The sequence below is a fragment of the Homo sapiens genome, chromosome 3 (genome assembly GCF_000001405.40).
Source record: "Homo sapiens chromosome 3, GRCh38.p14 Primary Assembly".
In the NCBI taxonomy this organism is placed as follows: Eukaryota; Metazoa; Chordata; class Mammalia; order Primates; family Hominidae; genus Homo; species Homo sapiens.
The window spans coordinates 114,054,475-114,071,199 of record NC_000003.12 but is presented as its reverse complement, the minus strand read 5'-3'; the positions used below and the strand labels follow the sequence as shown (position 1 = coordinate 114,071,199).

The 16,725-nt window shown below is 39.3% G+C and overlaps 2 protein-coding genes across 16 annotated transcripts in view, besides 2 other annotated features; one reads left to right on the top strand and one right to left on the bottom strand.

The window, feature by feature from the left end:
- The window catches only part of QTRT2 (queuine tRNA-ribosyltransferase accessory subunit 2), a 31,686-nt gene extending 17,223 nt beyond the window's left edge, over positions 1-14,463 (bottom strand). For 2 of the 8 annotated variants that reach the window (NM_001256835.2, XM_047448934.1), the window contains exons 1-5: positions 14,336-14,463; positions 5,743-5,963; positions 4,917-4,972; positions 3,137-3,213; positions 362-574 (exon numbers count right to left, since the gene is read on the bottom strand). In NM_001256835.2, coding sequence (NP_001243764.1) covers positions 362-574; positions 3,137-3,213; positions 4,917-4,972; positions 5,743-5,963; positions 14,336-14,350 — 582 coding nt within the window. In that variant the 5' untranslated portion in view covers positions 14,351-14,463. Of the gene's footprint in view, positions 1-361; positions 575-3,136; positions 3,214-4,916; positions 4,973-5,742; positions 5,970-14,093; positions 14,202-14,335 lie in introns of those variants that run through there. The other 6 variants (NM_024638.4, NM_001256837.2, XM_047448933.1 and 3 more) reach the window with 6 other exon arrangements.
- Positions 11,915-12,414: an enhancer, noted in NCBI's record as "H3K4me1 hESC enhancer chr3:113777633-113778132 (GRCh37/hg19 assembly coordinates)". NCBI's record gives its function as "activates a minimal SCP1, AML or CMV promoter by ChIP-STARR-seq in primed H9 embryonic stem cells {active_cell/tissue: H9 hESC(primed)}" and the evidence as "EXISTENCE:reporter gene assay evidence [ECO:0000049][PMID:30033119]".
- Positions 14,523-14,932: an enhancer, noted in NCBI's record as "active region_20268". NCBI's record gives its function as "activates an Ori minimal core promoter by ATAC-STARR-seq in GM12878 lymphoblastoid cells {active_cell/tissue: GM12878}" and the evidence as "EXISTENCE:reporter gene assay evidence [ECO:0000049][PMID:35858748]".
- The window catches only part of CCDC191 (coiled-coil domain containing 191), a 92,477-nt gene continuing 90,338 nt past the window's right edge, over positions 14,587-16,725 (top strand). For 5 of the 8 annotated variants that reach the window (XM_011513052.3, NM_001353767.2, XM_011513054.3 and 2 more), the window contains 1 exon segment: positions 14,587-14,823. In XM_011513052.3, coding sequence (XP_011511354.1) covers positions 14,734-14,823 — 90 coding nt within the window. In that variant the 5' untranslated portion in view covers positions 14,587-14,733. 8 annotated transcript variants of the gene reach the window in all.

Below are 16,725 nucleotides of genomic sequence, written 5' to 3'. Positions count from 1 at the left end.
TCACTTCTGAGTTTGAGGGATATTCTAGTGACATAACCTACCTATAGCCCAGTAATTACATAATTCTGAAGCTAAGTAGAATAATCTTGATAGTATATACAATTTAAGAATTATTCAGCAATTAAAACTAAGGGAAGGCTGCCCAGGGACAACATATAGAAAGGGATGAAAAGAGAAACCTAAGATAGAAACCTAGAGAACAATAATACTTAAGGTTCAAAAAGAAAATAAAAATAGAGAGTAAAATAGACAAAGAAGTGAGGAGCACAGCAGTAGGAGGAAGAACAGAAAAGGTGGTATCACAGAATGTAAGGGAGGCAAGAGTGTCAAGAGAAAGGAGTGGTTAGTGGCACAGCCTTACCTCTGACTCTTCCTGCAGCCGCAGACAGTTATCCAAGAAAAGAAGTGATCGGTCAACAGACTTTCTGACCCTTTTTATGGAAGTTGCTTCCTTACAAGATACTTCTCCATCGGAGAGGCACTGGAACCAGTCTGGCTGAAGGGCCTTCTGAATTGCCATGAACTTGGAAACAGTCATTTCCACTCGTCCTGCAACACTCCACACAGACACAGACTGCCATGGAGCAAAATGATGAGGAATTAGCAAGAGTAAAATGCAAATAAAAATAAAATAATTAAAATGATAAAGCAATAATTCTTCTTTACAACTGCAGAGATGGTGACAATTCAATATCCAGACATGGTGGGTAATAGGATCTTATAGCTTACAGATAATCCTTCAGTGGTCATATAAGACAACTTTTGAGCTACCCACCAAGAATTCTTTGTTATACTTTTCTAACATCTTCTGCTCTCCCCTATCCCACCTGCCCCACCCCTACCTAACCCTTGCTGTTCCTGAATATACCACAGACTTTGATCACACTGTTCCTTTTGACTGACAGTTCCGTATTTCTTTTTCTTTTTTTTATTGATACATATTTGTATAATGTTATGGGGTACATGTGAGACATCTTACATATAGGGCAAGTGTAATAATCATGTCAGAGTATTTAAGTATCCATCACCTCAAGTATTTATTATTTCTAGGTGCTGGAACTTCTACTTCTTTGCCTGGCAAAATACTACGTGTCCATTGAGACACTGAGTTCACATATTAATCTGATCTCCAAACCTCCTGGACATAATCGATCACTCACTCCTCTATGCTCTTACATCAATTTGTATTTATTTCTTTATAGAAATGATAGCACTTATTACACCATTCTTTATTTGTCTGACTAGAGTATCCCAATTCATGTATGTATCCCAAAAGCACAGTCTAGGGCCCTATACATTTTTAATATCTAGTGTTTACTAGACTGAGTTAGATATAGAATTAAAGACTTAAATCTCCTAGTTCAAGAGAGTATATATTAGTAATATTCTATCTTTGAGCTAAAAGCAAAACTACCATTCAACCCAGCAATCCCGTTACTGGGCATATACCCAGAGCAATATAAATCATTCCGCCATAAGGACACATGCATGCAAATGTACATTGCAGCACTATTCACAATAGCAAAGACATGCAATCAACCTAAATGTCCATCAATGATAGATTGGATAAAGAAAATGTGGTACATATATACCATGGGATATTATACAGCCATAAAAAAGAATGAGGTCACGTCTTTTGCAGGAACATAGATGGAACTGGAGGCCATTGTCCCTAGCAAACAAATGCAGGAACAGAAAATCAAATACCACATGTTCTCACTTATAAGTGGGGGCTAAATGATGAGAACACATGGACACAAAGAAGGGAACAACAGACACTGGGGTCTACTTGTGAGTGAAGGGTGAAAGGAGGGAGAGAAGGATAAAAGGTAACTATTGGGTACTAGGCTTAATACCTCAGTGATGAAATAATCTGTACAACAAACCCCCATGACACAAATTTACCTATGTAACAATGTTTACACGTACCCCCGAAACAAAAATAAAAGTTAAAAAAAGGGAAAAAAAAATTCTATCTTTGGTTACCCTACAGATCCCTCTTCTCAGATCAACAAGGACATAGATGGCAGGCCAACATATAGTCGTTTTATTTTATACTAAGGCATCAGAATTACTGGTTAAATGATTCCTCTCTCCCTTACAATTTGGGTAGAAAATGGAAGTCAAAGTATTTTTTTTTTTTTTTGAGACAGAGTCTCGCTCTATCACCCAGGCTAGAATGCAATGCACTGGTGCGACTTTGGCTCACTGCCACCTCTGCCTCCCAGGTTCAAGTGATTCTCTTGCCTCCACCTCCCAAGTAGCTGGGATTATAGGCGTGTGCCACCACACCTGGCTAATTTTTGTATCTGTAGTAGAGATGGGGTTTTGCCATGTTGGACAGGCTGATCTCGAACTCCTGAGGCTCAAGCCATCTACCCACCTTGGCCTACCAAAGTGCTGGGATTACATGCATGAGCCACCATACCCAGCCAAAGTATTTTCTCTAGAATTCAAACTACAAAATAAATAGAAACTTAAAACAGGAGAATGAGTAAAAACAGTGTTCTGAGGGGCACAATTAATAAATATTGCTGACATTAATAAAGTGAGTGCAGGAAAAGTATTTGCGTTTGTAAAGTAGCAGTACACACTGAAGCTTTGCCAGAATGCTGTCCTCAGGGATAATGCCAATGGGGCCACCTCTCAGCCTAACACTTTTAATGAGGTGCTTTTGATACTGTTCTTCACTAGACAAAATCTCTGGCTGTAGACCCAGCAGACAATATTATATTGAGATTCTACTATATATAGTTATACATGTGATAATACTCATCAGCAACTTTCCCCACTCTTCCTGAAGTTGTTAAAAATCCAACAAAGCATGGCGCCGAAAGACTATCGTTTTCCCCTATCATAGCAATTTCTTTTTTTGGCATGTATTTGACCCTCCTCTACCCTCAAATTTTTTTGCAACAATGAAAATGCTGAGGATACAGTGTTCTTCATCTTAACCTCATCCTTAGGCAGCCCTACTCTAAGTCTTATAAACCATCCCATCCCACTATAATTATCGAAATAAGGAAAAGGTATAAGGGATCATCCCAGACAGTGGGATCTGAGCATCTGAGGGATACACCATAGGCTGACTTCCTGGGACAAAGCTGCAGCCTTGGAGACCCTTCTGAAAACACACCTTGTTTGTTACATAACCAGCCGGGCAGGGGCTGACTGGATCGTGCAGGGAGCAGTACAAGAGTGATTCTGGCATGCCTGTATAAACACAAAAAAGAACCCTTGAAAGTGCTTACATCAACAATGACACTGTATTATAGCAGGGAGCAGCTTCGCAATGTGTACTGCTGAATAAAGCAACTCTAAACACTGTCAATAGGTTGTATCTGAACTTGGAATTAGAGAAGGCCTATCAATATGTATAAAAAGATTACTAATCTAAAGAAAGAAATATAAAGCTTCACGTCTAATAAATAGGTACTGAGCTGCTACAAAGGAAAGATGTATCTTAAAGCACAATATACAATGAAAGTATTTAGTGACATGTTGATCTCATTTGACTTTACTTAAAGAATTTACTATCAAATATGCTTATTCCAGGTACCATCCAAGGGGAACTAGCTACCGCAAAGATAAAATGATATGCCCACAAAGTGATCTCACTAATAATAAATCTCAATAATATCATGGGTCCCTAGGGGCAGAATTTTAGAGAAGCTATAGGATGCTGCAAATGGATCCCATTCTTAGTAAGTTTCATTGATTCACGATGACAGTTTCTTAAGTTCTTCAGTCAAAAAGACAATCATTTTTTAAAAAATGCAAAAAAAGTTTAGTAAACCATGTGCCTAAATATCATATGCTAGCCCACATTTTCGTTAAGGAAAATAAAACAGGATTCCAGTGAAAAAAAAGCAAGTGTAAAACCTCTGCAGTTTTTTCACTTTATTTTCCATAATTTCAATTATTACAATTATCTCTAGAAAGCCTACATTAGCTATTTTCATTTAATTATATGCTTGTATACTTTAAAGCTGGTTATTAAAATTGGGCTCAGGTCAAGGAGAATGATATTCCATAAATTCCTCTACTAAAATACAGGGCTTTGTGATAACCAACAGGACATCATGCAGCTGCTCTCAGAAGCAGAAGACTGAATAACCAATGGAAACAGGATTTTCATTCAAGTGAGTCCTAGATACCAGAAAAAGCGTTAGGAGAAAGCGGTGTATAGAAGAACTGATGTTCTAGCTGTCACTGCTAAGCTTTTCCTATAAATAAATAGATGCATACATCTGCATATAAAATCCTATTTCTGGAATAAAGGATAATATTAACATATCAGAATACAGCCATATACAAACGCTTCATCCTCCCCTGCATGTTTGAGGTTCAAGCATGATGAGACTACTTTGGAGCTCACGAATGCCCCATGCAAGTTCTCACCGCTGAGTCAGATACTCAGTGCCTGCAGCATCTGCCCCACACCTGTCTGGGCTCCCACTCCTAACCTGGGTAACTTTTACTCTTCCTTGACCCAGCTAAAATGCCCCTCAACTTCTCTCTCAAGAATCCTTTCTCTGGGTTTTTATGGAGGCGTAAACAAAAAAAAGAATCCGTTTTTTATTCTGACCACCTTGCACATATACCCTAGAGCAGGTTATATGCTCTGCCCTCTGGCCTGTCATGATATCCATACATATCCCTAATCCTGTAAAGCAGTAACCACAATTTTTACTAGAATTCTCTATCTTTATCCCAGCTAGGCTCCAAATTCCATGAGAGCAGCAACTGTTTCCTATTCAATCTTGACTTGCCAATGCCTGGCTCTTAGATGTTCAAATAATACTTATTAAATTTATGAATAAACAAACATATGAATGAAAGATCAAAGAGGTAACAGCACCTCCAAACTCCAAATTAACACATCACAAGGCACATATAAGTAACTTAATTTTTACCTATAAACTTTCCAACTCCTTCTTTATATTCTGTCAAGACTTCATGATGTTCTGCTCTGTAAGCAAAACAGAAAAATACATAACATAATAATGTGTCATTCTGTAAATACTCTGTACAACTGGAGCCCTCTTCTCCTCACCCAAATAAGTTACATCATGGTAAATGCTGTCTTGAATTACACCATTATTCAAGAGTTCTAACTAATTAGGCTAGGTTCATTAGCCAGAACGAAGGCCTTCAACTTGCTAGTGGTTCTGTGAGACATGAAACTGGCAAAGATCAACTCCTTCAGAATACTTGAATTTTCTTCCTTCTCTTGCCCCTTTAAAATCTCTGTTGTTAACACAACGCTGCAGACTATTATGTTAATTGGTCATATAGTAGGCTTTTCAATTAAGTATAAAGTCAGTATATACATTACACAAAATGATCTAACTTTAGTTCTGTTTCCATAAAGTAGTATTAGCAAGTATATGTGCAAAGGCAGAAAAAACTTTGAGGCTGGTGCATGATAACAGCTCCTGAACTCCAAATGCAGCTCTCACAGAACATTCCCCGCCCTGTCACCCCTGGGAGCAGTGGCGACATGGCAGTATGGGACTGTAGGTTTGGAGGAAAAGTGAAGCAGATCTAACATATAGGTCTGGCCTGTGGCTTCCAGATTAGGGCCAGAAGATGTATAATATTTGAAACCTCTCTTCTGATTTCATTATGAAAATCGACAATTTATATATATGAACAAAAAAAAATATTTCTCTTTTTTGCACCTAAGGTAACTAAGCTGCTGCCACAGTTGATACTTGAATCATTGGTTCTAACACTTACAGGGATGACAGCGTAAGCTGAGCCATGGCAGGAACCCCGTGGATATTATGCAGCGTGTGATGGGTGAGGTGTGGGGCGGAGCCAGTCTTGGTATACAGAAGGCAGCCTGGAATATCCATGGTGTGGTCCCCTGTTTTGCCCAGGTTTTTTATTTTTCCTAGGCGACAGCCATTAACTACCTTGGTAAGACTCAGCTTCATCCTAAGGGATTCTTCTAGGTCCTGTCAAGAAAAGAGCATTAAGTATAGAAGGAGCTTCACAACACCTAGAGGCCAAGCATTTTGCAAAAAAAAAAAATCTTCAGGAAAATGAATGATAGCATGCTTATTACTGCTTCCAGTCTAAATATTTTCATAGATATCAGGAACGGGGGAATGGGAAAAGACATAAAGAGAATAAGACATCTTCCCTAAGGTCCCAGAACCACATATTGGCATCAACTAATTTTAAATTTAGTCATGGAATTTTTGTCTGAGCTGATGAAAACCAAACAAATGAAAGAACAGAATTAGAAAGACTAATCATGGAAAGAATGCCATGAAGCCAAGGCTCTCTCAGCCTTGAAAATGTATACAGAGAACAGTAACACTGCTTAGGCCATACTGATTATTGATATAATCCACTTTTTTCTTTCTCCAATTTGAGGGAAGGCTAAGCAATATAGCAATTTTTTCCTAATAATGCTGTTAAGTGAAGAAAAGAGCATCCTGGTGTTTATGAAAATATATGGAAAAATAAATGTCAAAACATAAACAGATCTCTGAGGTCGGATTATTTCCCAATTTGTTCTTATATGGTATCCAAACAGAAGTGAGAAACTGTGTGGAGCATACACGCAATCCATAAGCAAAGTGTCATTACTTTTATAACTGGGAAAGACTAATATGTGTTTAAAGAAAAAAATAAAGATACACTTTCTAACTTCTATAGATATACAGGGAAAAAAAATCAGAAAACATTATCAATTACTTGTTGGGTGCTCCTAAATGATTTAGTATTCAGTGAAGCAAAATACTGGGTTCCACTTTTAAAATGCACTACAGAACTTGATAAGCACACACATCATCGGCTAAATGTCACCAGACATACCAACATTTTACAAATACTTCATTACATCTCTACAGCAAGTACCATATCTTCTGGAATTCTTAAAAACTGGGCCAGGCCCAGTTTTATTAGTTGACAAATGAGCTATCAGAGAGGATCCAATTTTCTTTTCTTTTCTCTCTTTCATTTTTTTTTGGACACAGAATCTCGCTCTGTCACCCAGGCTGGAGTGCAGTGAAGCGATCTCAGCTCACTGTAACCTCTGCTTCTCGGGTTCAAGAGATTCTCCTGCCTCAGCCTCCCAAGTAGTTGAGATTACAGGTGTGTGCCGCCATGCCCAGATGACTTTTGTATTTGTAGTAGAAATGGGGTTTCACCATGTTGGCCAGGCTGGTCTCGAACTCCTGACCTCAGGTGATCCGCCCACCTCAGCCTCCCAAAGTGCTGAGGTAACAAGCATGAGCCACTGTGCCCGGCCAGATCCCATTTTCTTAAGCATTATAGCATACCATACTCTGAAAGTCAACCATTGTTAAAATGTCACCAAATAAATAAGACATATCTATCATTAGTTAAATATATTCAAGAATAAAAACATTACTTTTTTTTAGGAGACATAAATTCTTAAATTTAAATAAAATAGCCATCTTTGTCATTAGAATCTTAGACATAAGAATAACTACTTTCTTAAAAAAAAAGAATAACTACTTTCTATATGGTCTAAGAAGAGATTTTATGCTAAACACAAATTATAAAAACTAATATAAGTGTTTGATGAAAGCCTGGTCAATTTTCTATAACTATGAGATCATTATTTCAAGTTATCACTAAGATAGAAACATACAAATAAGTGTCATTAGAACCCACATAAATGGAGACTGGTAAGGAAAAAAAGGTTATATTTTAATAAATAGTATAAAAGCTATTTTTTTACATACCCTATTGTTACACATTAAAACTGCTAAAACAAGAAGGTTCATTTAAGAAAACTGTAAAACTATACTTATAAGCTAATAAAAGCATACTGTAGAAAATATAAAAGAATTGTAATCTTTATTTATTTATCAGATAATACTGATTTCAAGTGATAAAAATGTATTTTATATTTTAAACCAACAGAGTTCTAATGTGAAATTTAAGACAGACTTTTGTAATCTAAGTAGCTCTGGAGAATTGAAGCAGGGGGAAGCACAAAGATGAGAAATGTACTTCAAAGCTTCATGAATCAATACCTGTTGTTCTGACTGAATATTGAAATCAACCAATATGGAACACTAGATTTCTTGAAACACAAATAAGAACTAATGAAAATTAAACGGACCAGAATTTTTAAATGCTGCAGTAACTTACGCATTTCCTACTATCACATACGTCTGAGAACGGAAGAAACTGTGTTGCCCGAAGCTATTTCAGAAAGGGCTAGAGACAAGAACTTGCTGGCTCCTCCAAAAATTCTATCTTACTCCAAAAATACTCTCTCATCTGAGCTGTGTAAAGTATGTAAAGAGTTTAAATGTACACACATGAACAGTGTTTTTTAAATTAAATTCATATAAAGGCACGAAGAACCTTCATTGGGTAAAACTAATACGTTTGAAAAATGAAGTATAGGATTCTAGAATGTTACTTTTATTATCTCTCCTCATCAAATTTATGCTCTCGTTTCTCCAGTTTATTAATAAATGACACAAATGACTGACAACCAAAGCTTCTGACAAGCATGAGATAATCTGCTTTTCCATGTTGTGTTAACTGAATTCCAGGTAAAAACAACAAACCCCATTGCTTTAGTAAAACTGTGCTTAATATCCCAGTATTGTATAATTACCATTAGACTTTAGAAATACTGAAAATAGTTTATAGAGTTCCATTACTACCAGAGACCCCTACCTGGGAATTCCTCATCACCACATCACCCCTTCTGCCATTTTATTGTAATCAGTCTGAGACTAGGCCTGCTTAGTCATAGGCTTGTCTAGAACCTGGGCCTCCTGCAAAAGGCCTGTATTCTTTTTATTCTTTTTTTTTTTTTTTTTTTTTTTGAGACAAGGTCTCACTCTATTGCCCAGGCTGGAGTGCAGTGGTGTAATCACGGCTTACTGTAGCCTTGACATCCCAGGCTCAAGTAACCTTCCCACCTCAGCCTCCTAAGTAGCTGAGACCACAGGTGCCCAACCACTGCACCTAACTAATTAAAAAACTTTTTTTGGAGAGATGGAGTCTCACTACGTTGCCCAGGCTGGTCTCAAACTCCTGCGCTCAAGTGATCCTCCTGCCTTGACCTCCCAAAGTGTTGGGATTACAGGCGTGAGCCACTGCACCCATCCAATTATGGCTTTTATGTGAGAGTAAATTTAACATGCTAGGAGATGCATTCAGATTTTTTTTTTTTTTTTTTTAGAATATCCTGCAGCATACCATGGCCACTGAAAATAACAAGATTTTTCAAAAGTATATGTGAAATCTATGAAACATCTTTTTGTTTTTTTCCCCTAGAACACACTGTGGAAAGTCATAAAAAGAAAGTGGCTTTGGTTGGGCACATTGGCTCACGCCTGTAATTCCAGCAGTTTGGGAGGCCAAGGTGGGCAGATCGCTTGAGCCCAGGAGTTCAAGAGCAGCCTGGGCAACACAATGAAACCCTGTCTCTACAAAAAATACAAAAACTAGCCAGGAATGGTGGCATGCACCTGTAGTCCTAGCTACTTGGGAATCTGAGGTAGGAAGATCCCTTAAGCCAGGGAGGCAGAGACTGCAGTGAGCCATGATCACGCCACTGGCACTCCAGCCTGGGCAACAGAGGGAGATCCTGTCTTAAAAACAAAGAAGAAGAAAAGAAAGAGAAAGAAAAGAGATAAAAGAAAGCAGCTGTCAAGTTCTTTAACCTGTGCCAACAGAATTACACAGGGGCTCAAAGATTAGCCACCTGCTGCTGCTCCCTCCAGTGCCTTACAGTCTTGTACTGCTTGGAGGGCTGGCTGGCCACTGGTAAGGGATTTAGGCTTCTGCCTGGTAAGCTGAGCCTGATCTTTTCTATATACCCAGCACAGAGCCATCACTCAGGGTCAGGCTCAAACCTATCAACCTCAGAGACTAAACAATAAAATCAGTATGCACAATTATTTACTCTGAGAATCGAAAAAAGCAAAGTGGATCAGTCAGTGGCATGTTTGCCCTATAGAATGCAATACATGAAGCCAAATATGCCATGCAAGCATAGAATCAGAATGGGAAGAAGAAGGTACATAAAGGCAACTAAAAGGAAACCCATCGGTTTTCTTAACACAGTACCCCCATTCACAGTTCTGCTTTCCAGTTTCAGTTACCCATGGACATCCGAGGTCCAAACATATTAAACGGAAAATTCCTGAAATAAACATAAGTTTGAAATTGCATGCCATTCTGAGTAGCATAATGAAATCTCTCACCATTTTGCTCTGTTCCACCCAGGACGTGAATCATCCCTTTGCCCAGCATCTTCACACTGTAGACGCCACTCGCCCCTTAGTTACTTAGGAGCTGTCACATTGATCAGATCAACCGTCACTGTATTGCAGTGCTTATGTTCAAGTTACCCTTATTTTACTTACGACTGGCCCCACAGCACAAGAGTTGTGATGCTGGCAATACGGATATGCCAAAGGGAAGCCATAAAGTGATCCCTTATGAGAAAAGGTTAAAGTTCTCCAACTAGGAAAAGAAAAAAGACTGTTTGCCGAGGTGACTAACATCTACTACTGTGCCTAATTAATAAATTAAACTTTATTATAGGTATGTATAGATAGGAAACATCATACTGTCTGTCTATTGTCTGTCTATCTATTTAGGGTTTGGATCTATCTAATCTATCTATCTAATCTATCTTATCTATCTATCTATCTATCTATCTATCTATCTATCTATCTATCTATCTACCTACCTACCTACCTACCTACCTATCTATCTGGGGTTTGGAACCATTTGCAGTTTCCAGCATCCACAAGGGGTCTTGGAACATATTCCCCACAGATAAGCGAAGATGACCAAACAACCAATCTCAGATTCTCCAAGGTTGGACACAAGGATTCTCTAAGAGTATAAAGGCAGCCAGACCTGGAAGCCCAGACCATTGGCTTCCAAGACTTACCTTTCTCTCAAAGACTTCTTAGTTTCATCCTTGTGTAAGGAAAGAATGAACATATTCTAGAAGTTCCCATCTTTTAACAAACGAGTCTCAAGTGTGATTAATCATCCACTCAGTCCTGAAGGCATCTTCTCTCTTCTTTCTCATCTCCCCTTCCCTCTCATCTCCCCTTCCCACTCTTTCCTCAACTGAAGAAACAACTTTCTTGATTCTTAACTGAAAGTCTGTAATTAGAGGTCCTTTGTAACTCTAAAGGACATTGGCCACCATGTTCTTAGAGGCAGAGATGGGCTCTCCTGTGATATAATGCTTTAATCCCAAATAACTTTAAAGATGAAATTCAAAATCCTCAGCTTAGAATACTGAACCCACTCAGCCAGCTGGAGAGAAATACCTACTTGGCTTTCTCTACAGTGAACGATTTTGGTGCTACATACTCACTTCTGTTGTTTGGGGCTTCATAAAAGTTCCACCCTAATCACAGTAACTCAACATATTAACGAAGAGAAAAATAAGGAAGCAAAAGCAGATGACTGGGTTTAAGAAAAAGTATTAAAATAAACTGCCATGGTCAGTGATTCTGTTTTGTGGGGATGAATGCAAATATTTTAAAATCTGAGGAAAACATCAGAGATGTACTATACTTCAGCTGGAAATCAATATTTTTTTTAAAAAAATGGAATTTTGTCCAGAGCTAGAAGAACCAAGTCTTCCTTTCTTCATTCATTGTTCAGGTTATGGTAAATGTTTTTTATAATTACACTTCTTTTCTAGAGGCTCAAATACAATAAATTGTTACTATGAAGTAATAAAATAGTACACACACATACACATATTCATGTACATATTTTTAAAAACATGCTTTGAGAGTGATTATTTCCTTTTTTGCCAAGGAAAGTTCAAGAAACAGATCAACAGTCTCCAAAATACTAACTAGTTTTTATTTGCCTTTATCATGATCCCTTCCCTTTTCACTTGTTGTGGGTCTGCTCTAATATTTCTGGTGTCACAGATGGCATTCCTGAGAAAGTCTTAAGGAAAAACCCTTAAGAGTGTAAAGACAAATGACAGGCTGTCAGTGGATCTGTACCTTTACAAGGACTAACAAAGATTCCCTGCACTTCTGGCAACACCGTACCTGTCCTAACACTTCCAGTGCGACCCACCACCTCCACTCTTCATTTATCAGGAGAGAATGGATTTTTAAATGTTTCCTAGCTGGATTCTCTACATACTGCCATGGAAATGTCCAAAATTTCCTAAGGCAAAAGATGGTCATATTTTTTGTGAAAGGAAAGCTGTATATATAAGTACACATCAGCATCTCTTACCCCTCTCTCCCACACATGTACACTTTCTATAATCATAGTATATGCATAGAAAAATGACTGAAGGACTTTTAAACAATGTGGTGCATTGAGCTGACTCAGAAATGACACACAGAAATGAAGAACGCTGGCCGGGCACGGTGGCTCACGCCTGTAATCCCAGCACTCTGGGAGTCCGAAGTGGGAGGAACACCTAAGGTCAGGAGTTCGAGACCAGCCAGGCCAACATGGTGAAACCGTCTCTACTAAAAACACAAAAATCAGCCAGGTGTAGCAGCACATGCCTGTAATACCAGCTACTCCGGAGGCTGAGACAGGAGAATCACTTGAACCCAGGAGGCAGAGGTTGCAGTGAGCCAAAATCATGCCACTGCAGTCCAGCCTGGGTAACAAAGCAAGATGCCGTCTCAAAAAAAAGAAATGAAGAACGCTACAATTCTAGAAAACAGTAAATGAAGATTTTTCCAAGGCATTCGGAAATCGTTACACCATTTGGTAGGGGGAAAGAGATAACGACGACGTTAAACTTTGTTGAGTATGTGTGTTAAAAATTCAGAAGTAACTGTTAAACGATTAATGACAGAATGCATAATTTCCAAACTCACTGGAGAGGGAAGTGGGAAGATAAAGAAAAATGAATTAACCTAATAAAAGGCAAGAAAGGAAAAGAGACCAAAAAAAAGAAATAGAAAACACAAAATAAGATGGTAGAATTCCAAATGTCAGTAATCACAATAAAAGTTAAATTAATTTCACATATAGAAAGACAATAATAGCAACTAACATTTATCGGGTATTTACTATGTATTAAGCACTGTTCTTTATATATTCACTCCATTAATCCTCAGATCAAATGCATAATATAGATACCATTATTATCTGCATTTTATGTATGATAAACTGAGGCTGATAAAATCCCCAGCTGGTAAGTGGCAGAGCAAGGACTTTAATTATTGAAGTCTAGTTTTCAGCGCTGTACTCTAATAGGCTGGGAGCTTATTAGAAGTTCCATCTGGTACACAAGCACATTATAATCTTAGTTTCCATTTTGCTATAGTGTTCTTCTTCTTTTCCCTTTCTCCCTCCCGCCTCTAATCCATCCTCCCAGTCTCTGCAATCTTTCTCCATTCTCATACAAATATTTAAACATACTTGCATATGGGAGGGAGTGTTTTGGTCAGGGTTTGCTTTTACAAAAATGGAAACATATTATACTATAATATATGCACTTCTCTGCAATTTGCTTTTCTCTCAAGAATAAACATTAGACGTCTTTCCTGAAGAAGAGACATAAAGCTAACTTACCCTTTTGAAAAAAACTACTTCGTGGTACTGCATAGTTTGTATGAGCACAATTTATTCAACCGCCTTTCAGACAGACCAGTTACAGAGCTGGTCCTAGGATCGCTGCAACAGTCCGAGGGCATAGCTTCCCTAACTTCATTTTCACCAATTTCAAATCAACTTTAGTTTACATTTCCTGGCAGAATGCTTCACATACATTTATTTTTAATCATTACAACACTCCAGTGATTCAGGTATTATCGTCCCCATTTTGCATGAGAAAACAGGGTCTCTGAGTTATTAAACAAGTTGCCTAGGGTCATATAGCCACAAAGTAGTTGAATTCAAAACTCCTGTTCTAAATCTTTACTCTGCTTTATAAGCCCATTTATCACCCCTAAATGGGCTGTCTCTGGAAACACCTCGGCTAAGCCAATAAGCCTGGATTTATCTTTGCTCCATGGGCCATCTCCATGGCCCCAGACCTCCCTAGGCACCTGGCTCAGAGATTGAAGACGGTCCCACCCTCCCATGGGCAGTTCGGAATAAAAACTTCCTGAAAACTCTACCTTTCAGCAGAGGCTAGTCGAAAGGGGCCCTTTTATCTCAGAGGTGTCGGCGACGCTCACACGATTTATGAGAATCTGAACTTACAGAAACCAATCCACCAGGACACCCTGAAAAGGGAAGCAGAGGAGACATGGCGGGAGTACAATCACCGTTACTGCAACACAACCAGGAAGCGTCTGGACGCGACGTGACTCATCCATCTCTAGCAGCTCCCACACCAGCAGGGCAAAGGGGCACTTACCTGCCAACAAACCATTCGACTCTTTCAGTCTTCAGACCCCTCAAACTCCTCACAGTTCACTACCACGTGTTGCAAAATTCTCTGCCCCAAAATCACTGCCTCCAGTGCAGAGCCAATCAGGGAGTACTGCGTCATCACTGGGCGCCAGAAAAAAAGCAAAGCCGACATTCAAGCGAGCCTTGATGACGGCAAGAGCGAGGGACCTCTGCCGTTGCTATGGTAACTGAGCCAACGCGAGCGGCCTGCGCAGAGCCTCGTGGGAGTGGTGGTTCGACGGTGTCCTATGCCTGCTTTCCTTGCGGGCGGAGGAACTACAATTCCCAGCGTGACCCGGAGGCAGCCCGGGCAGAAGGGCGGTTGCTGCAGCTTTGGCCGAGGTTCGGGCTCGAACTTGGAAAATGCTCCTGGCGCCTCAGGGAAGGTCCTTCTCAAAGAAAAGGATGGGGCTGAATCGCTGGAAACGGTTCACAAGGAAGCCGAGTCCCAAGGTGATCCCAATCGAGAGCTTTGGAGGGCGGGGACTTTCCCAAGGCGCGGCGCAGTCAGGAAGCCAGTCGCGGCCCGTCTGTGCTTCCTGCCTCTTCATCCTGAGCTGACACGCCCCTGCCTTGACCGCCCCAAAGCCAGCATTACCCTGAGTGAAATGCTCTAGGAGCTCTGGGGTCTGGGCACATTACGGCTTTGGTGGGCAGCATCGTGGAAGAACTGTTTGTAACGCTTTTCTAAAACCGGAGGTGTCTGCTAATGCCCATCGGGGTGAAAGGAGTTTGCAAACTCCGTTCCCCCTACCTTAAATTTTAGGAAACTTCTCGCACATTTCTTTCTTTTTCTCTCTCTTTTTTTTTTTTTGCAAATCTTGGGGTAATTGATCTTTATTAACGGGAGAGAGCTTCACATTAAATACCCTGCCTATATTCCTGCCCCTTCACTTTTACGTAAAGTATCTAAATAAACTCAGGAGTGCAAATGGATATTGAATACATTAATACTTGATTCACATAGTAATTTCTAAATTCAACCAACTTTCAAAAAATAGATTCTCTCCGTATCTATCACCCATTTGGATGCATTAGCACCTGAAGATAAGAAAAAAATAATAACCCCATTTTAAACTTGAAACATATGTGACATGTGCAAAGTCACAGTTGCACCGTGTGCTTTCCACAGACTACCTTTTTAACAGTCCCCAAAAAGATGCTTAAAATCTAAATGAGAGTACTAAAATGGAGAAGCTTCTCAGCTTTCAGCTACAGAGCAGTTTCACCAGCTGTTTTCACCCTTAAGTTATACTTTCCTAAATAATATTCTGTAGATGTATGTGGCCTTTTTGAGGGCCCCAGGCGATTGTTCTTGCGATTTATTCTAAATTTACCAGCTAAATGCATTGGACATATTCCACATGACAAATATGTTGCCCTAGATACTAGAGGGCACAGACTGAAGCATCAGGGAGACTTGGAAACTGAGGCTGCTGCTATTTCAATACATCAGTTGCATAATGTATTGGATCCAAGATAGGATATAGATATGGACTTGATGATGAAAGGTAAAAATTTAGAATAATTTCTTAGGACTCCAAAAGGAAGGATTTTTGCTGCTAGTGCTCATTATTACTGCCTAGAGAAAAAAAGGTAAAAACATAGGGCTTCTTCAAGTTCAGTTGTATTTTAATTAGATCAGCTCTTTCTTTGTTGCAGTGACAAAATTATTAAGCAGTACAGCTGCGTTAGTTATCAGTAAGATGCTTTGAAGGTAAAGTGTTAGGTAAGTGAAAGAGTATTATATTTTTCCCACCTCCATGTGTCAGTATGCTAGTTTAGATATCCCCTTATTTTATTATTATTATTATTATTATTATTTTAAAGAGTATATTTGAGTAAGAAGCAATTCATGAACTGGGAACGCCAAACCAAAAGAGATTTAGTGCTCCAATGACAAATCATCAGGATATCCCCTTATTTTAAAAACACACCTGAATTTTTAGTGAAGAAGATAACTCTATTTGTTAAGTGACTATTAGAGGGAATTCTGCAAGCTTCTGGGAGTTTCAGAGGTTGAAGAAAGGAAATGTCCTGATAGTTTTACTTCTAATTTCAGATTAATACCTGACTGATCTGGGTGGAAATTTATATTTTCTGCTTTGTAAAACAGTAAAAGTCAGATTGATTAACCCTCGCCCCATTCCCCAGTTTTTGTTGTTGTTGTTGTTTGTTTGTTTGTTTGTTTTTGAGACAGAGTCTCGCTCTGTCGCCCAGGCTGGAGCGCAGTGGTGCAATCTCGGCTCACTGCAAGCTCCGCCTCTCGGGTTCACGCCATTCTCCTGCCTCAGCCTCCTGAGTAGCTGGGACTACAGGCACCCGCCACCACGCCTGGTTAATTTTTTGTATTTT